Source organism: Homo sapiens, chromosome 12, assembly GCF_000001405.40.
Source record: "Homo sapiens chromosome 12, GRCh38.p14 Primary Assembly".
In the NCBI taxonomy this organism is placed as follows: Eukaryota; Metazoa; Chordata; class Mammalia; order Primates; family Hominidae; genus Homo; species Homo sapiens.
The window spans coordinates 56,861,154-56,882,456 of record NC_000012.12 but is presented as its reverse complement, the minus strand read 5'-3'; the positions used below and the strand labels follow the sequence as shown (position 1 = coordinate 56,882,456).

The following is a 21,303-nucleotide window of genomic DNA, read 5'->3' as shown; positions in this document are numbered from 1 at the left end:
AAGACAATGCATGCTCAGCAGGACATGGATACTCATCAGTAATTCTAATTTCGCTCTTGCCTTGTGATCCTGCTCTGCCATTTGCCTTGTGATCTTTTATTGCCTTTTGAAGCATGTGATCTCTGTGACCCACTCCCTATTCATACACTCCTTCTCCTTCTAAAATCCCTAATAAAAACTTGCTGGTTTTGTGGCTTGAGGTCACCATCATGGTCCTACCAATATGTGATGGCACCCGAGGAGGCCCAGCTGTAAAATTTCTCTCTTTGCACTCTTTATTTGTCAGACTGGCTGACACTTAGGGAAAATAGAAAAGAACCTACATTGAAATATTGGGGGCTGGTTCCCCCAATAGATGTGGTGGCACACACTTGTAGTCCCAGCTACTTAGGAGGCTGAAGCAGGAGAATCCCTTGAGCCCAAGAGATGGAGGCTGCAATGAGCCATGATAGCACCACTGAACTCCAGCCTGGGTGACAGAGCAAGAGGCCTTGTCTAAAAAAATACAAATAAATAAATTAAGATTTGTCAGCTAATTCTTAAGTCTATAATTTTTTATGAATAGCAATGGCCAAGCCTTTTATTTGAATTCATTCAGACAGGATTTATTTTTATTATTCAAGAAATGTTTACATAGCCCATATTAAATGCCAGTCACTGGAATAAGTGCATTGTAAATACTAACTCATTTAATCTTCTGTAACAATCATTTGCTATTTTTAACATGTCAATTCTACGGATAAGGAACCAAGTGAGATGAAAGCTGAGGTTCTAACCTGGGCAGTCAGGCTCCAGTGACATGTGCTGAACCACCGTGTGACACTGATGTCTCCCACCTCCACACAGAATTGTAACTGCAGAGCAAGTGGATTCAAGACCCTGCAGCTCAACAAACAGCTCTGATGCAAAGCATTTTTTCACCTGTTTGTCTTGTTTAAATTTTTTTCTTCATCAGATTGGTATAAGAAAAGGAATTATAGTTTTCATGATCTGAACTGGGCTTAAGGTATACAGAATTTAATTTTTCTTATTGGGATAATAAAGCCAAAAGAAATTAACCACTTGGGGTCATCAGGCAACTGTAGTGCCCCAGGCTTTACATTGAAGCTACACCAAGGATAACAATGTCACTCTCAGTCAGGTCAGCCAAAGTGAAGGCCTGTGAGCTCTTGTAGTAGGTATACAATAATAATTAAATTTAGTAAATTCCTGTCTAGCCTGGAATGCCTATAATTTTGAAGGCATATTACTGGCCTTGCAAAGTTTCTTCTCTTTTTAGAACTTCTGGTGCTGCAAGGATTAAACTCAGTAAGTACAGTGTTTATTTGTTAATAAGAAGGAAATTAGGCAGGTGATTTCTTGAAGCAATCAAAGCCCCATGTTGCTTTTGCTTCTAACAGTGTAAGTCTAACCCACAACAGAATTAAAGGACAAGAACTGTGTCTTATCTCTTATGTTATTTGCACTCAGTGACCAGCTTGTGTTTATTCCATTCAATTGAATCTTGAGATGCAACAGAAATGTGCTGGGTTAAATATTTGACTGGGAGGAAATATACTGAGTCTTAGCTGAACACTTAACAGCAATTATCTTTGGGTAGTCAGATGCCTGTGGTTTTTATTTTCTTCTTTATACTTTTGATATTTCCCCTAAACCACAACCTTAGGTGTTTGCAACAGAAGACTACTTAGAGAAAGAAGAGAATCCTTCTCTCTATCTCATTCCTTTTCAAATTGTGGTTTTTATTTTTACAAACAGTATATGGGCACACAGACAACCAAATAGTTACAAGGGCTGTTATGAAAACCCACAGGAGCTTCCCTCCTATTTCCTTCTATTTCCCACTCCACAGAGGATACCACTTTGGATTATTTTAGCTGATTCCTTTTAGTTTAGTCATAATGGTTATTTCTCTCTTGCAGCAGCAGTTTGAGCAGAAGCAGGCCAAGGTGGCATGGTAGCTTCCCAGTGTCTAAAGCCCTGACTCCTTATACCTTGCTTTACCATCTTTAGGTGTTGTTCTTATTCACATGTTCCAATATGGCTCATTACCAAGTTTTAATTCCAACCAAGAGAAAAGGAAAAATAGGAACAAGGAGCACATACTCCTTTCTTTTAGGGCTGTGAGTTGTAAGCTGAACAAATTTTTTGCCAGCATATCATTAGCCAGATTTTAGTCATAAGTCCACATCCAGATGGAAGAGAGGCTAGAAAACTATTTTTTTTTTATTTTTTTAGTATTTATTGATCATTCTTGGGTGTTTCTCGGAGAGGGGGATTTGGCAGGGTCATAGGACAATAGTGGAGAGAAGGTCAGCAGATAAACATGTGAACAAAGGTCTCTGGTTTTCCTAGGCAGAGGACCCTGCAGCCTTCTGCAGTGTTTGTGTCCCTGGGTACTTGAGATTAGGGAGTGGTGATGACTCTTAACGAGCATGCTGCCTTCAAGCATCTGTTTAACAAAGCATATCTTGCACGGCCCTTAATCCATTTAACCCTGAGTTGACACAGCACATGCTTCAGAGAGCACAGGGTTGGGGGTAAGGTTATAGATTAACAGCATCCCAAGGCAGAAGAACTGTTCTTAGTACAGAACAAAATGGAGTCTCCTATGTCTACTTCTTTCTACACAGACACAGTAACAATCTGATCTCTCTTTCTTTTCCCCACATTTCCCCCTTTTCTATTCAACAAAACTGCCATCGTTATCATGGCCCATTCTCAATGAGCTGTTGGGTACACCTCCCAGATGGGGTGGCGGCTGGGCAGAGGGGCTCCTCACTTCCCAGATGTGGCAGCCAGGCAGAGGGGCCTCCCACCTCCCAGACGGGGTGGCTGTGGGGCGGGGGCGCCCCCCCAACCTCCCAGACGGGGCAGCTGCCGGACCGCGGTGCCCCCCACCTCCCAGATGGGGCGGCCGGGCGGAGATGCTCCTCACTTCCCAGATGGGGCGGCTGCTGGGTGGAGGGGCTCTTCATTTCTCAGATGGGGTGGCCGGGCAGAGGCACTCCTGAGTTCCCAGACAGGGTCGCAGCCGGGCAGAGGCGCTCCTCACCTCCCAGACAGGGTGGTGGCTGGGTAGAGATGCTCCTCACCTCCCAGACGGGGCGGCCGGGCAGAGGCGCTCCCCACATCCCAGACGATGGGCGGCCAGGCAGAGACCCTCCTCACTTCCTAGACGGGATGATGGCCGGGAAGAGGCGCTCCTCACTTCCCAGACTGGGCAGCCGGGCAGAGGGGCTCCTCACATCCCAGACAATGGGTGGCCAGGCAGAGATGCTCCTCACTTCCTAGACGGGGTGGCAGCTGGGCAGAGGCTGCAATCTCAGCACTTTGGGAGGCCAAGGCAGGCAGCTGGGAGGTGGAGGTTGCAGCGAGCTGAGATCACGCCACTGCACTCCAGCCTGGGCAACATTGAGCACTGAGTGAGCAAGACTCCGTCTGCAATCCCTGCACCTCGGGAGGCTGAGGTGGGCAGATCACTCGAGGTCAGGAGCTGGAGACCAGCCCGGCCAACACGGCGAAACCCCCTCTCCACCAAAAAATACAAAAACCAGTCAGGCATGGCGGCGCGCGCCTGGAATCACAGGCACTCGGCAGGCTGAGACAGGAGAATCAGGCAGGGAGGTTGCAGTGAGCCGAGATTGTGGCAGTACAGTCCAGCCTCAGCAACAGAGGGAGACCGTGGAAAGCAGGAGACGGGGATGAGGGAGAGGGAGAGGGAGAGGGAGAGGGAGAAGGAGAGGAAGAGGGAGAGGGAGAGGGAGAGGGAGAAGGAGAGGAAGAGGGAGAGGGAGAGGGAGAGGGCAAAAATTATTTCTTTCCCAACACTGAAAATTCCTTTTGCTACTATAAAAAGGAGAAAATGGGTATTAATTTCTACCCTCCATGCACAGTGATTGGTTCATGAATGAGTTATTGAGGTGGGAAATTAAAGAAAGAAAGAGAAATAAAATTAAAAAGAGAAATAAGCTTTCCTGTATTAGGCTGACTTGTCCCAGAGGCAGAAACAGGCACAGCCCAGACCCAGGAAAAGTCTTGATAATACTATCTAATGTGCCCTGAAGACTCTCCCAGCACTCCCTCAACATAGGGAGGAGAAAAACAAATTTTCCTTTCTCTTATGGTATGAGTTTATAGATTCCTGTTCTCTGTAACTAGTAAATTCAAGTATTCTGTTTTATCTAAGTGGTATAGTGAACACCCTAAACCATCTGAGCAGGGGTGAGATACAGCCATCTGGGTGCCATAGTGAAGGTCATGGAATGCTAGGCACTAGGGCAAACCCAGATAACAAACATCTGGGCTGCATAGCAATGGTCTTGTGTAATCCTGAGTTATGAGCCTGTCACAATTTGATTAACTGTCTTTGTTCTGCCTCTGTATCCTTGCTTTTGCACCATGGTAAGCCTGCTTCAAGCTAGCATGCCCCCTTTTTGAAGTGTGTATAAAAATTAAGTGCTGTCTTTGTTCTAGGCTCAGTTTTTGGATAAGTCTGCTGGGTCTGAGTGTACTCAATAAAGATCTTCCTGTATACACCCCAAGGTCTCTCTTGTCCTACTAATTCCTGCAACATTATGACCCAAGCCAGGCCAATGAGAGTCAATCCTGGGGTTTGTGCTAAAATTATTATGAAACTTGCAATGCTGATAGAATGTAGGCTTGACTACTGGCCATCCTGACCATGTCAAGGAGACAGCTTGACTGAGAATGACATCAACACAATGAGAATGGAACCATGAGATGGAGAGAGGCAGTGTACTAATGACACAGTTTAAGGCCCTGAATCTATCTGGGTAGTTTCTTCTGTAAATGTTTTCTCTTTGAACACAATACTGCATACTAAGATGTTGAACCTTTAGAGTTTCATCCACTGTTCTTCATCCTGGCTGTATTAAAACGTCCCAGGACAAAGCTGGGATTTGTCCTTTGAATTGCCACCTAGAATTGCACAATGTGCAATTCAGCAAACTTGATGTGTGGGATACTAGCTAGAATTTACAAAAATTTCTCCTTGACAGATGTTTATCTCATTCTACTTTCATGTATTACATAATGTCAGGAGGTGGATATCTTGCTACTTCTGCTATTTTCACTCCCACTGCTCTAAGTGGAGCTGCACTGACTGCTGACCTAGATGCACACTAGTATGTGGTTTGTGTCCTTGCTGTTTTCCTGGTGTTCCTGTACCTTGAACTTCCCAATTATATTAGCCAATACAGTCTCTTTTTGTCTAAGCCACTTTCAGTTGGATTTCTGTCACCAGCAACCAAAATAATCCTGACTCATGCTCCAAGTAAGCCTTGTTCAAGGAAGAGACTTTGCATCATATTCTAAATGTTCTAGCCTCGATGGCTTTTCCTAAACTGGAGAATAAAATTTAAAAGATTAATATGTATATCTTTTCCTTGGGAACATACATATAAATATAAAATTATATTTTTAAAGGTTAGAAGGATACACATCAAACTAGTAACAGCGAGTTACTTCCTGAGAAACAGTAAGCAGAGCAGAATTAGGGATAATGATCAAAAGACCCTTTGGTTTTATCTGTAATATTCCAATTTTAAAGATAAGTTTAAAATATTGTGATTTTTAAGTTAGTGATAAAAAAAAAACTTCTAAAAAGCAAGATTATCTTTTCTTCTCCTCTACCAGTCCATTCCTGAGTAGTTCAATTCAAAAACAAGGTAAGCACACATGTTGAAGGGAGGTTGCAGTGCATGATAGGAACCACAATGACCAGAAGGAAGTGTCAGAGCACAAGAAGGTTGAAGAGGGAGTCCACGAAGGAAGGCTGCTTGGGATGAAGTGTTGGAGCCCAAGTGGGGCATGAAGGAAATATGTACATAAGAGGGGCAATGGTGGGCCAGGCATGGTGGCTCGTGCCTGTAATTCCTGCGCTTTGGGAGGCCAAGGCAGGTGGATCACTTGAGGTCGGGAGTTTGAGACCAGACTGGCCAACATTGGGAAAGCCCATCTCTACTAATAATGCAAAAATTAGCCGGGCATGGTGGCAGACACCTGTAATCCCAGCTACTTGGGAGAAGAATTGTTTGAACGTGGGAGGCAGAGGTTTCAGTGAGCTGAGATTGCGCCACTGCACTCCAGCTTGGGTGACAGAGCAACACTCCATCTAAAAAAAAAAAAAAAAAAAAAAAAGGGCAATGGCAAGAGTTTTGAACAATAAGTAAATCTACTAAGGAAATGAAAATAAGAGTGCTCACTGGGAAGGGATTAAGAAATATGGAAAGATAAATGTAAGAATATACAGAGGAAACAACCACTCTCTCTCACTACTTAATCAACATAGAATACTTCTGTGGCCACAGATGTGATGTGTGAGGATTTTTCCCCACAGTGAACCCTGAAAATGTGAGACAGGTTTCAGTTAATTTAGAAAGTTTATTTTGCCAAAGTTGAGGACATGTGCCTGTGACACAGCCTCAGGAGGTCCTGATGACATGTGCCCAAGGTGGTCAGAGCACACTTTGGCTTTATACTTTTTAAGGAGATATGAGACATCAATCAACACTCGTAAGATGAACATTGGTTTGGCCTGGAAAGGCTGGACAACTCAAAGTGGGGAGGGGACTTCCAGGTCATAGGTAGATAAGAGACAAATGGTATAATTATTTGGAGTTTCTGATTAGCCTCTCCAAAGGCAGCAATCAGATATGCATTTACCTCAGTGAGGAGAGGGATGACTTTGAATAGAATGGGAGGCAGGTTTGCCCTAAGCAGTTCCCAGCTTGACTCTTCCCTTTAGTGATTTTGGGGACCCAAGATATTTTCCTTTCACACCATCAACAACCAATTCTCCAGCAGAGTCTCCAAAGGATACAGCTGGGTGTCCTCTAATTCAATTCAATTCTAATACTACCTACCTGGAAATAATGTCAGATTCCATAGGTTGAGGGCTCAGTCCCATAAGATTATTCCAGCTGCTGATACCAATTATAATAGGTTGTCACATATAATTCTGACAGATCAGCTATAAACTGGGGTTCCCACTCTCCCCTCCTCAGGCTTGATTGTTACTAGGATGGCTCACAGAACTCAGGAAAACACTTAATTTACCCATTTATTATTAAGGATATGACAAAGGATACACATGAACAGCCAGATGGGAGAGGCACATGGAATGAGGCTAGTAGGAAGGGAACAAAGCTTCCATGCCCTCCCCAGAACTCCCTCCAGGCAACTCCATGTATTCAGTTATCTGGACGCTTCCAGAACTCAGTCCTTTTGGGTTCTTTGGGTTTTTAATGGAAGCCTCATTATGTAGACACAATTAATTAAAGCATTGGCCATTGGATTATCAACTCAACCTTCAGCCACTCTCTGCTCCCCAGAGGTTGAGGGGGTGGGGGGATGGACTGAAATTTCCAACCCTCTAATCTACATGGTTGGTTTCCCTGGCAACCAGCCTCCCTCTGAAACTAGGGCCCCAGCCACCAGTCATCTCATTAGCATACAAAAGACACTCTTATCGCTCTAGAGATTCCAAGGATTTTAGGAGCTATATGTCAGGAGATGGGGATGAAGGTCAAATATATATTTCACAATATCACAGGAGAAAACTGGAATGAACCCTGAGATTTTGAATTGGCATTGAAGGTATCCATGTTAAAGCATACCATTGGCCCACAGACAAGATAAACTCCTCAGGGCAACTGAGGTGCTCAAATTTAAAACAGAGCCAAGTGGCCATGGCTGGATTTGGGAAAAGTCATGTACTCTCTGTTCTCAGAAGATGTTGTAAAAATATCATAGGACCTCCATTCCTATAATCAAGCTAAACCAGTTCCTGTTGCTATTAAGACAAATAGGGGCCAGCAATCACCCCCATCGGCCATTTTAAAGAAACACCTGACAGAGACTTCTGGTTTGGGGCTTGGAAATAAACCAATCAGAGATAACCTGCCACAGCCAATCAAGGCTCAGCTGTATCAACCAATCAGGGCTTAGCTGCCCCAGTGAGTCCGAACTAAGGAAGTTTCAATCTTTCATTTGCATGAACAGACCTGATTGAGAACCTGGAAAGGAACTTTTGCTATAAAACCGAAACCTCTCTCTGCTCTCTGGAATGCACCTTCATTTTACACTGAAGGCTGGACCCAGCTTGGAAACTGTTTACTGGAATAAAGTTACTTTCCTCCAAATTCCTTTTCAGATAACTTTTTTTAAAGTTTTAAAATGTTCACTTTATTTCACATAACACTTAACCAGATATCATTTATGTCTGAGGAAGAGATAGCCCAGGAGACTGATCTATAGTAAAACATTCTAAGAAATGCAGTCCAATCTTATACATGTCCAGGCATCCCTAGACAAGTATATCATGATGCAGAAATATAGGTATCACTACCACATTTTACACAAAAGGGAATTATCAATAAACTTTAGAAAGTAGTAAATTCACCTGTCCCTTAATATAGGAATATGCAATTGTTACAAAGCCATAGTAAATGGTTTATATTAGGTTGGTGCAATAGTAATTGTGGTTCTGCCATCACTTTTAATGTAATTTTATTTTATGTTATTCTGCTGTTACATAGGGCATAACATTTTCACAAGACTTTTTTGGGACTTCAGTCAATGACGAGCAACACACAATAGTTGTCCAACTAAATAACAATCACTAGACAAACAGGACACCTCCTTACATATACACAAATCTGCATAGAAATGTACTAAAGTTTTAGACTTGGACTTGTGTGCTTTGTTTCCCCTTTCTAGTGTGTTAAGAAGTGACATGTACTTCAGTTTGCCAAAAGAAATGCTAGTATTCTGGCAGCAACATGCTACTTCTATTACATAGTAAAGTAGATACCAGAACTATAAAGGCAGGAAGTGTAAATGAATTTTTATTGGGAAGGAAAGCTGCCAACTTAAACAGCAGCATATGAAGAGTGAATAAGGAAACTCTTATTTACTCTTTCCACAGATTCACATGACCTCCATAATATGTGATATAGGAGACATTTCAATTTGTGACACCTCAACCCAGAAATGGCAAGCGCTTTTCCATTCAATCTGATATTTCTGGATTTCTACTAAAAAGAATACATTAAGAGCATGGAAAAGTTGATTATTGAGAAGAAACCCCCAAAGAGTAAGGGAGGGAATGTAGAAATTAAGACGTTACATCGAACACTGCTGGGGATAGGCCCCCAAATCTGGCCATAAACTGGCCCCAAAACTGGCCATAAACAAAATCTCTGCAGCACTGTGACATGTTCGTGATGGCCATAATGCCCACGCTGAAGGCCGTGGGTTTACCAGAATGAGGGCAAGGAACACCTGGCCCACTCAGGGCAGAAAACTGCTTAAAGGCATTCCTGAACCACAAACAATAGCATGAGAAATCTGTGCCTTAAGGACATGTTTCTGCTGCAGATAACTTGCCAGAGCCCATCCCTTTGTTTCAGCCCATCCCTTTTGTTTCCCATAAGGAATACTTTTAGTTAATCTATATTCTATAGAAACAATGTTTATCACTGGCTTGCTGTCAATAAATATGTGGGTAAATCTCTGTTCATGGCTCTCAGCTCTGAAGGCTGTCAGTCCCCTGATTTCCCACTCCACACACTATATTTCTGTGTGCGTGTCTTTAATTCCTCTAGCACCTCTGGGTTAGGGTCTCCACAACTGAGCTGGTCTTGGCAGAACATTCTTTAAATTATAATTAACTACATTTTTATATCTCCACAGTAATACAAAACACAGTCATTTGCAAAACTGGTTCAGATTACTTAAATACCAGATACATTTTTTAGTCCTCTACATAAGCATTTGGAAGGTACTTAAGTTTATATGAAATTAAGCTATGAATGCTTTTCTACAGCAGTAACTGCACATCAGGAAGGCCAAGACAAACACAAATCAGGGAATGGCATTTTCCCAAAGATGCAGTGTGAAAAAGCTATAAACAGTTAATTCCAAGCACATGAATGGGTTTCTTTGCTATAGGAAATTCAAGTGGAATAAGGAAAGGAGATGCATAAAAAGGTTTCTTGAAGGGAGGAAGGATGACACTCTTTATGCATTTAGTTTTCAGCCCCTTCTACTGCATCACATTCTTCCTTGCACTGTCTGATATCCATAGTGTTAGGTTGTCTCTAAGCAGATAAGGGTGCTGTCTTTGTATGAATCTTCATTCCGTGTATCAAGTTCTGCAGTGTATCTGTTTTATTCAGCATGCAGGTGAGCTCTGCATTATTAAGGGTCTCACAGTAAAATACAGAAAAGTTAAGAGCAAGCCCCAGGTAGATTGGGTGGGTGAGTTGACTCTCTTTCTTGCTTATATCAAATACTTCTTGGTAAGCTCCTTGGGAATTATCTATCTTGTTTTCAATCATCACCACTTGCAACTTCGGCAAGGTACAGGAAGTAATCTCCCTTCATTTTCAATTAGAAGACCTTACTCTCTGGATTAGTTGCATCAGCTATTAAATACTCATCCAGCAATTCCAGGACTGTGGTACAGATGGATCTCAGCTCAGACTCTACTTTCTCCTGATAGCCCTTAATCAGCTGCAACTTCTTGTCGGAGGTAACAGTTTTCTGCTCAATGCTCAAGGTGACCCTCTAGGCAGACCTGTGATCCCCTGACCATGTATGTGTAGGCCACTGAAAGCAGGTTGAGCTCCTCATTGAACAGCTTGGTGCCCTGCTCTGTCACAGCCTTCACCCAGGTAGTGATGTAGTCGTACCATCTGGCCAGCTCAGCCAGCTTGGCCTTCTAGGATCAGCTCCGTCTTCTCCGTGGCAGGCACAGGGCTGTGACTGGGACAGAGGCAGGAGATGAGGAGAGTGAGGGCAAGCCCCAAGCCAGATTGAGAGGAGTTCTCAAGAGCTTCCGCCCAAAGCCATCCCTAAGGAGAGCCTGGCCGCTCCGTGAGGGCAGTGCCTTGCTCAGGCCCTCAAGCCCAGCACTGCCAGAGGAGGCCCATGGGACCACCCTGGCACTCCCTTTTTCAGAGAACTTTCATTCACATTCTTGGCATCAGAAGTGGGATTTGAAGCAAACTACAACTCTCCTCCCTGCATCATCCTAAACCAATACATTAGGGCCTGCAAGAGCCCCTTGGACTCAGTTGTCTTCTTGGCCTCAGTTGTCTTCAGGATGGGAGGTGAGTAGGGGGGTGGCCTTCAGTAAGTCCTCTTGAATTCCCATGCTTTGGCTAAGGTCTCACAGACTTAATTTTCTTCAGGAAGCCTGTTCATCTGGCTCCACAAGGTACCCATTTGCGGGATATGCTTGCACTTTGTAGGGTACATTCATACTTCATGGGGTATGCTTACACTTCAGTTTTGCCAGGATGCATGGACTTCTACTGCACTTGAAAGGATGCATTTGTCAGGTCAGTGCAAAAGTTTTGTGGAGACATTCACGCTAAGGACACTGGAAGGGAAGGGATGTCTTTGTTAAGTCAGTGCAATGGGTAGCTTGTATTTTAAATTTTCTCTGCTGATCAGCCACTTTTCAGCACTCCAGCTGGCTTTATAAGCAAAAATTATAATCCAGGGAGTTACAATTGGCTAAGTCTCTGGAAAAAATTACCTAGGATAATCCTAAACTTCTTTGGCAGAAATGGAGCTCTTTTGAAATTCAAATGTTCCTGTGTGCACAATTGGAATAGAAAACACCAAAACTGCCAGAGATAATGGAAAGTTTTTTTTTCAGATGAGATCTGTCACATTCAAGGTGGTATGGCTGCAGACAGGGAGTCTTTTTTTCCCAATTGGCCTTTTTTTTTTTTTTTTTTTGAAGCAAGTTATCTACAAATGGTTTAGCACCAGGTTTCCCAGGAATGTGCATTACATGACAGGCAAGGGGGTGGCTACACCTTGTTTCCCAGGACTAGGGGCTCTCTGCACTGCAACTGGCCCTTTTGAAAGTTATTTTATTTTATTTTACTTTCAGTTCTGGGATACATGTGCAGAAAATGCACGTTTGTTATATAGGTATACATGTGCCATGATGGTTTGCTGCATTTATCAACCCATCATTTACGTTTTAAGCCCCACATGTATTAGCTATTTGTCCTGATGCTCTCTCTCCACTTGCCCCCACCCCCCAACAGGCCCCAGTGTGTGTTGTTCCCCTCCCTGTGTTCATGTGTTTTCATTGATCAACTCTCACTTATGAATGAGAATATATGGTATTTGGTTTTCTATATTCCTGTGTTAGTTTGCTGAGGATGATGGTTTCCAACTTCATCCATGTCCCTGCAAAGACATGATCTCATTCCTTTTTATGGCTGCATAATATTCCATAGTGTATATGTATCACATTTTGTTTATCCAGTCTATCATTGATGGGTATTTGGGTTGGTCCTTTAGAAAATTCTAAACAGAATCAAAAGGCTACCATTGCCTCCCTTAAGAGAAAATAATTCCAGGCTGGATGTGATGGCTCATGCCTGTAATCCCAGCACTTTGGGAGGACAAGGTGGGTGGATCACTTGAGGTCAGGAGTTTGAGACCAGCCCGGGCAACATGGTGAAACCCCATCTCTACTGAAAACACAAAACTTAGCTGGGCGTGGTGGCGCACACCTGTAGTCCCAGCTACTTGGGAGGCTGAAGCATGAGAATCACTTGAACCAGGGAGGCGGAGGCTGCAATGAGCTGAGATTGCACCACTGCACTCCAGCCTGGGTGACAGAGTGAGACCTTGTCTCAGAAAGACAGAGAGAGAGAGAGAGAGAGAGAGAGAGAGAGAGAGAGAGAGAAAATAATTCCAAATTGAGTGAATGCCTTAATGAAATAGAAAGAGAGATTAGAGCTTTAAGCCTGAAACTAAAACTGCAAAAAACCCTCTGGAAGAAACTTCTTCCACTAGACTCCCCTTTCTGCCACTCTTCCTGTCTTCATTCCCCTTTCTGCCACTCTTCCTGTCTTCTTGTCTTCTTCCAGTCTTTCTTTCAGAAAATCTTTTTGCCACCTGTCCTTTATCCTTCACTTTCTCCTGCCTCTTTCACTCTTTCAGCTGGTTATTTTGGAAACATTTCTAAATTTTTTCTGAACTTGTCTGTGTGTTTTCTTGTAAAATCCTGTGAGAAATTCCTGCAATTGTATGTTACATTGATATCCATTTTAATCCTCTTCTAACACACCCAGACTTCTTGAAAAAGCTTAAATTCTTTCTGTGCTTGAGGTATAAATTTCCTACCTTGTTTTCTTTAAAGCTCGGTAAAGGCTTCAGCCATGTGGAACAGATAAATTTCAACCTGTTCCATTTACAGAAATGCAGTTGGAATCAAATTGTTTTTTTAAACTAATCAGTTTTACTTAACTCATAGCTAAGTTTTAAAACAAAAGCTATAAGATCTTTATTTGTGTCTGTATTTTTGTGTATATATATGTTTACATATCTATTCATATATTGTCTATAATTCCAAATTGTTTTATAAATAAATGAGTACTCACCAGGTGCAATGGCTTATGCCTGTAATCCAAGCTCCTCAGGAGGCTGGGGTGGGAGGATCACTCGGCTCACCTCAACCTCTGCCTCCTGGGTTCAAGCTATTCTCGTGTCTCAGCCTCCCAAGTAGCTGGGACTACAGGCACACACCACCACACCTGGCTAATTCTTGTATTTTTAGGACAGATGGGGTTTTGCTGTGTTGGCCAGGACTTTGAGGCTGCAGTCAGCTATGATTGGGCCACTGCACTCCAGCCTGGGTGACAGTGAGAGCCCATCTCTTAAGAAAAAAAAAAGAATACTCATAGATTAAGCAAATAATCTGAAATGCTTTTCAAGTTAATGTGATTTAGTCATCTTTTGGCAGATGGGACTAGACTAATATTGTTAAATAATTGTTAAATAATTTTAAAAAAATTGTTGTTTTGATGGAAATTGCTGCATCTTCTGAGTTATCAGCAAAATGTGCTTGTATTTAACTTTAGAGTTCTTGCTTTTATAATATTTGCCTGGAAGGCAGTAATGTACAATTGGTTGACAGAAACAGCTTGGGATAATGGCTAGATTTGTTTGATGTCTCTGGAAATTTTCTAGGCATAATTCTTTGAGAGTGAATGGATTTGGTGAATGTGGACAGGATAAATTTTGTAAATTAACTTTTGATAATGGTTTATGTTTTGTAATATGTTTACTTGGGAAGGTTTTTTAAATCTCTTTGGTAAGTATACCCTAAGAGTTTAGTTAAGCTAAATTAAATGATGGATGTTCATTGAATGTCTAGGTCATTTACAGATAAAATATAATGCTGAGATATTTGTTGTTGAATGTAAGTATAGGCTCATATACTGCTGGCTTCTTATTTCCAAGAAAAACAAAAGTTATTTGAATCTGTTAGTAGAAATGTCCTGTTTCATATTAAAGAGTTGTTTTGTTAGAAAGCCTATGTCTCTGGAAATTGTAAAATGTGTATCATGGATTTTTGGTATGTGATTGGTGGTTAAGAGTTGATAACTTCTAGCTGGGTGTGGTGGCTCATGTCTGTAATCCCAGCACTTTGGGAGGCCAAAGCAGGTGGATCACCTGAGGTCAGGAGTTTGAGACTACCCTGGCCAACACAGCAAAACCCCATCTGTCCTAAAAATATAAGAATTAGCCAGGTGTGGTGGTGTGTGCCTGTAGTCCCAGCTACTTGGGAGGCTGAGACATGAGAATAGCTTGAACCCAGGAGGCAGAGGTTGAGGTGAGCTGAAATTGTGCCACTGCACTCCAGCCTGGGTGATAGAGTGAGACTCTGTCTCAAAAGAAAAATTGATAACTTCCTGGGTTTTCTTTGAAAATTAGGGTTTCTAAGAGTTGACATTATAACTAATGTGTGTGATTAAACTACTAGAGATGAAAAAGACCATTCCATATGTAAGCATATGAGAAGTATATGATGTATTTTTGGTAAGGAAGGTTGAAAAGGAAGAGGATTATTTTGTATAAGAAAGAATGTTGTATGGCAAATTTTTCTCCTAGAGTAAAATGATTGGTTATTTAAGAAAGAGAAAGTGTAAGAAAAAGCAGAATGTCCAAGCATATCATAAATGGTCTGAGTAAGTCATGATAAGGTTTATAAAAATAGCATTTATAGAGGAAATTTTCTGTGTCATCACTTTGTCTACAATTGGAGGGAAATTATTTATGGGTCTTACTAGGGATTGAACTTTGATGTGAAAAACACACTGATGCAGATTTTGTCCCGTGTGTTAGAATAGCAAGGTTTCTTTAGAATGTTGATTTGCTCTTAGTAAAATTATAGGAGGTTTTGATTAATTCTGAAATGTGTTTCTTTGACAGCCATCCTCTCAATTACAAACAGTTTCTATTTCTGCCACATTTCTCCCTGGAATCTATCTAACTTCTTTCTCTAGTTTCAGGTTGGAAATACAGCTCTACTTCTTTCTATCCTAAAAAGATATGGTTTTTGCTTGGTTGGGATGATAACATTCTCCTTCAACCTTTTTGTTGACTCCTGTAACATTTTTCTGGTTCTGCCAGTTCACTTTTCATCAGGTTTAACTTTCAGGTTATCTAAATGAACTTACCAAAAGAAAAAGCAATCACATTGCAAGAGATTTTCTTTTCTTTGCCTTGTGGGCAATTGGCCTAGGAAACAAAGATTCTGTTTTACCAAGATAATTTCCTGTGCTTCAAGTTATCTTTATTAGGTTTTTTATTACTTAGGAAAACTGAGCTTTAAAAGGGTTAAGGTTTTTACATTCATGTAACTTTTTCTATTGTTTTTGACATCTTTTGATTGTCAGTCTGGTTAAATGAATAACTATCATCTTGCAGCGAACTTTGATTCTATTGAATCAGATACTTTGAACTTTAAAGCTTGTGACATCTTTGGAAGGTTTCCTGGGATCAAAGCCCTAAATTAAATCTTTTAGATATTATTAGGAAGCATTGTCAAATAAAAATTATTTTTAACTTTCTTTAAGTTGCATGTGTAAATGTGTTATTAAAATGTGTTTCAAAATTTCATGTGATAAAATTCTGAGATATAGTGATATGTGTTGTCAATCAGCTATAGTCCAAAATTGCTTTTCATGGAACTGCTGATCAGTGTCAAGCAAGGTAAAATTGATTACATGAAATTAAGTAATTGATAAGGATAATGTTTTATGACTTTTATTTAGAGCATTCTTGGTCTTACATGTTTTGTTTTTCAGATTCAAGGAAATTTACTTCATAATTTTTTATAGTTTGTAATAATTTGGTAAAATATCCTTTCGTTAACAAAAGTGGAAGCATTTGCTTTTTCTCCCTACTTGAGATCTCCAAAATTTAGAAACTATTTTTGAGTATTCTTATTTTATTTACATGCTCTCTATAAGCAGGATACAAGTGGAATTCTCAGTTATAATATCAAGGTTTTGACTGAAATGTCATATTTAAGAATGTACATAAAATGCCTGGCTTCAAGAGTTCCCAGGCTTACCGTAAGTGAGTCAAAATTGCTACTTCCAGGCATGCCCAAGGACACTAAGATTGTAAGTGAAATCTAAAGTTTGCCTTCATTTGGCTTCCTAAACTCAAAAGGTTTTAAATTTAAGATTCCTATAAAATCAGTGTAAAAAGAAAAACTTATGTTTCCAAAGAAAAACTATATAACTGTTACTATATTGTAGATCTGTACATTGTTTTCAGATCCTTGTTATTTACCTGTAGACTGGACTACACCCTGAATTCTCCTAATTTCCTGATGCCTCTGCCAAACTCCAACAAGGAACACTCTTAGACAATTAACAGGTGCTTACCTGACTTTCTACCTTGCCTGGCCCAGGCTGTTCAAATTGGCTATGAGCTCTTAGTCACAGAAGTCCCACCAAGGGACTAGACAGACCCAGAGCAGGTAGCCACATCACTTCAACAATAATATGGGACAAAGACATAACACTGGTAGTCAATGCTGCCTATGGCAGGTTTCAACCAAAGGGAGTGAAATGTCAAAGTATGCCCCTGGCCAACAGACTAAATGAATTCCCCATGGCTAACTGAGGTGCTCAAAGTTACAGGAAGTATGGCTGAGAAGGCCTCAGGAAACTTACAATCATGGCAGAATGCAAAGGACAAGTAGGCACATCTTACATGCAGGAGCAGGAAGAAAAGAGTGAAGGGGGAGGTGCTATACACCTTTAAACCACCAGATCTCATGGGAACTCACTCACTATCATGAGAACAGCAAGGGGGAAATCTGCCCCCATGATCCAATCACCTCTCATTAGGCCCCCTCCTCCAACATTATGAATTACAATTCTATGTAAGATTGGGCAGGAACACAGATTCAAATTGTATCATTCTGCACTTGGCCCCTCCCAAATCTCAGGCTCTTCTCACATTACAAAATACAATCATCACTTCTCAAGAGTCCCCCAAAATCTTAACATATTTCAGCATTAACTCAAGAGTCCACAGTCCAAAGCCTCATCTGAGGCAAGGCAAGTCCCTTCCACCTGTGAGCCTGTAAAATCAAAGACAAGTTAGTTACTTCCAAGATACAATGGGGCTACAGACATTGAATAAATACACCCATTCCAAAAGAGATAAATCACCAAAACAAAGGGGCTACAGGTCCCATGCAAGTCCAAAATCCAGTAGGGCAGTCATTAAATCTTGAAGCCCCAAAATAATCTCCTTTGGCTCCATGTCTCACATGTAGGCTACACTGATGCAAGGGGTGGGCTCCCAAAGCCTTGGGCAGCACTGCTCCTCTGGCTTGCAGGGCTCAGCTCCCATGGCTGCTCTCAAGGGCTGGCATTGAGTGCCTGCAGCTTTTTCAGGTACATGGTACAAGCTGCCAATGGATCTACGATTCTGGTGTCTGGAGGATAGTGGCCCTCTTCTCACAGCTCCACTATGCAGTACCCCAGTGGGAACTCTATGTGGGGGCTCCAACCTCATATTTCCCCTCCACACTGTCCTAGTAGAGGTTCTCCATGAGGGCTCCATCCCTGCATCAGAATTCTGCCTGGACATCCAGGTGTTTCCATAAATTCTCTGAAATCTAGGTGGAAGCTTCCAAGACTCAACTTTTTCCCTCTGCGCACCCACAGGCTTAGCACCACAAAGAAACTGCCAAGTCTTAAAGGCTTGCACCCTCTGAAGCAGTGGCCTGAGATATATCTGGAGCCCTTTTAACCATAGCTGGAGCTGGAGCAGCTGGGGTGCAGGGAGCACTGTTCCAAGGTTGTGCAGGGCAGCAGGGCCCTTGGCCTGGCCCAAGAAACAATTTTTCCATTCTAGGCCTCTGGACCTGTGATGGGAGGGGCTGCTCTGAAGGTCTCTGTCATGGTTTCAAGGCATTTTCCCAATTGTCTTGGTTACTAACATTTGGCTCCTCTTAAGCCAATTTCTGTAGCTGACTTGAATTCCTTCCCTGAAAATGGGGTTTTCTTTTCTACCACATGGCCAGGCTGCAAATTTTCCAAACTTTTATGCTCTGCTTCCCTTTTAAATATAAGTTCCAGTTCCAGTTTTATGTCATTTCTTTGCTCATGAATATAAGCATAGGCTGCTAGAAGCAGCCAGGCCACATCTTGAATGCTTTGTTGCATAGAAATTTCTTCCACCAGATGGCCTCAATCATCACTCCCAAGCTCAAAGTTTCACAGATCTCTAGAGCAGAGACACAATGCCTCTAACCTCTTTGCTAAAGTATAATAAAAGTCACCTTTGCTCCAATTTCCATTAAGTTCTTCATCCCCATCTGAGACCTCCTCAGCCTGGACTTCACTGTCCATAACACTACCAGCATTTGGTCACAACCATTCAACAAGTCTTTCAGAAGTTCCAAACTTTCATTTTCCTGTCTTCTTCTGAGCCCTCCAAATTGTTCCAACCTCTGCCCATTACCCGGTTTCAACTCACTCACTATCATGAGAACAAAAAGAGAGAAATCTGCCCCTGTGATTCAACCACCTCCCACCAGGTCCTTCCTCCAACACTGAGGATTAAAATTCAACGTGAGATTTGGGTGGGGACACAGATCCAAACCACATTAAGAACAGTCTTATACTCTGTGTTCTCAGAAAGATGTTTTAAAACTATCCGCAGGGTGCGGTGGCTCATGCCTGTAATCCCAACACTTTGGGAGGCCGAGGTAGGTGGATCAATTGAGGTCAGGAGCTCAAAACCAGCCTGGCCAACATGATAAAACCCCGTCTCTACTTAAAAAAATACAAAAGTTAGCTGGGTGTGGTGGCGCCCACCTGTAATCCCAGCTACTCAGGAGGGTGAGGCAGTAGAATCACTTGAACAAAGGAGGCAGAGGTTGCAGTGCCAAGATCGTGCCACTACACTCCAGCCTGCAGCCTGGGTGACAAGAGTGAGACTCCATCCCAAAAAAACAACAAAAACTATCATAGGAACTTCCTTTCTATGATCAAGCCAAACCAGTTCCTTTTGTGAGTGCCAGGATAAACTGCATCCAGAAATATCCCCCCTAGGTAGTTTGAAAGAAACAACTGACAGAAATTTCTGTTGGGGTTTGGAAATCAACCAATCAGAGATCACCTGTCTCCCACTCAGGGTTTAGTTGTATGAACCAATCAGGGTTCAGTGGTATTGACCAATCAGAACTCAGCTGCACTGACCAATCAGAACTAAGTTTTTCCATACTTCATTTGCATAAATAGACTTGACTGGGAACCTGGGCAGAGAAACTTTTGCTATAATACCTGAGTCCTCTCTTTGTTCTTTGGAATGCACCTTCATTTTACAATGAAGGCTGCCATCTCTCCAGTTTGCAATTTGTTCTCTGGAATAAAGTCTCTTTCTTCCAAACTCATTTTCAGAGAACTTTTGTTCACAATGTGAAGTCAAGGTTTTCAGTACATAGAGGGGGTAGGTAGATTAGGTAGATAGATAGATAGATACTTGACTTAGTCTATTTTCTGCTGCTATAACAGAATACCACAAACTGGGTAATTTACAAATAATAGAAGGTTATTTGGCTCATGATTCTGGAGGCTGGAAAGTCCAAGAGCATGGCACTGTCATCTGGCTAAGGTCTTCTTTCTGCATGATAACGTGAGTGGAAGATGGACATGAGCACACAAGGCAGAGAAAGAAGATCGTCCAAACTCATCTTTTTTTCAGAAACCCACTCCCACAATAACCAACCCACTCCTTCAAAAATGGCCTTAATCCATACATGTAGGGCTTCACCCTCATGACCTAATTACCTCTTATTAGGCACCACCTCCCAACACTGTTGCACTGGGGATTAAGTTTCTAACAAACTTTTGGGGGGATACATTCAAACCATAGCAATACTTAAACCTGAATATCTTTGTGTGTTTATATGTGTGTGTGTGTGTGTGTGTGTGTGTGTGTGTGTGTGTGTGTGTGTTCCCTTTCTCCCTGAGAGGGCCTGGGAGCAGCAAGATCTCAATAACAATGCAAACACCTAGTACTAAGATCGTGGCTTCTAAATACCATTCCCCCATTGAAAGGAAACAATCTGCTTGGAGAAATGGCTGACTTCAGGGCTGATGCAGGGAAAATACAAGGTGAGCCAAGCTGGTTTTAAATGGGTCCCACCAGCTAAACAAGTGATAATTGAAGCATCAAAATAATTATTGAAATCAATAGATAATAACCAATCAAATAAGATAGAAAACTTGGAGTCCATACTAATGGACTGAATTGTATTCTCCCACAAGTCATATGTTGAAAGCCTAACTCCCAATGTCTTTGTAGATATGTATTTGGGAATAGGGCCTTTATGAAGTAATTAAGGTTAAATGAAGTCATAAAGGAGGGGCTTTATAAAAAAAGAGACCTCTCTCTCTCTGCCATCTGAGGACACACCAAGAAGACTGCCATCTACAAGCAAGGAAGAGAGCCCTCACCAGAAACCAAACCAGGCTGGACTTTGATCTTGAACTTTCCAGATACCAGAACTGTGAGAAACTTAATTTTTGTTGTTTAAGCCATCCACTCTATGGTATTTTTTTTTCCTTCTTCCATGTGTCCAAGGCATGAACCAAGCATGGGAACAGACCAAAAGCCAAGCTGGGATAAACAAGGGGTTGCTTTGTCCCTGGCTGGTATTAGATGGTCACCACCAACCAGATGCTACTCTACCAGATCGGGAACATCTATGGGTTTTTTATGGTAACCCTAAGCTGACTAATACATTGATATTAATTAATTAGTTAATGGGCAATACAATATTTACATATTTTCATAGTTACCTCCCTACAAAACACTTACTAATTACCAAAGGAAATTATAGTAAAGAAGCCTAGAAGATACCACCTGAACCAAGTGAGGAAAGTGAGCATTGTCAGTAACGGGACAAATTGAAATTATACACCA

At 41.9% G+C, this 21,303-nt stretch overlaps 1 non-coding gene and 1 pseudogene across 1 annotated transcript, besides 1 other annotated feature; both read right to left on the bottom strand.

The window, feature by feature from the left end:
- Window positions 1,398-1,692: a silencer, noted in NCBI's record as "tiled region #4868; HepG2 Repressive non-DNase unmatched - State 23:Low". NCBI's record gives its function as "represses a minimal TATA promoter and a strong SV40 promoter by Sharpr-MPRA in HepG2 cells {active_cell/tissue: HepG2}" and the evidence as "EXISTENCE:reporter gene assay evidence [ECO:0000049][PMID:27701403]".
- Window positions 9,856-10,851, bottom strand: YWHAQP3 (YWHAQ pseudogene 3; annotated as a pseudogene).
- On the bottom strand, window positions 20,949-21,082 carry LOC124900330 (small nucleolar RNA SNORA48). Its single transcript, XR_007063633.1, has one exon. It is a non-coding gene; the product is annotated as a small nucleolar RNA SNORA48 (small nucleolar RNA).
- Between the last annotated feature and the right edge of the window lie 221 nt (window positions 21,083-21,303).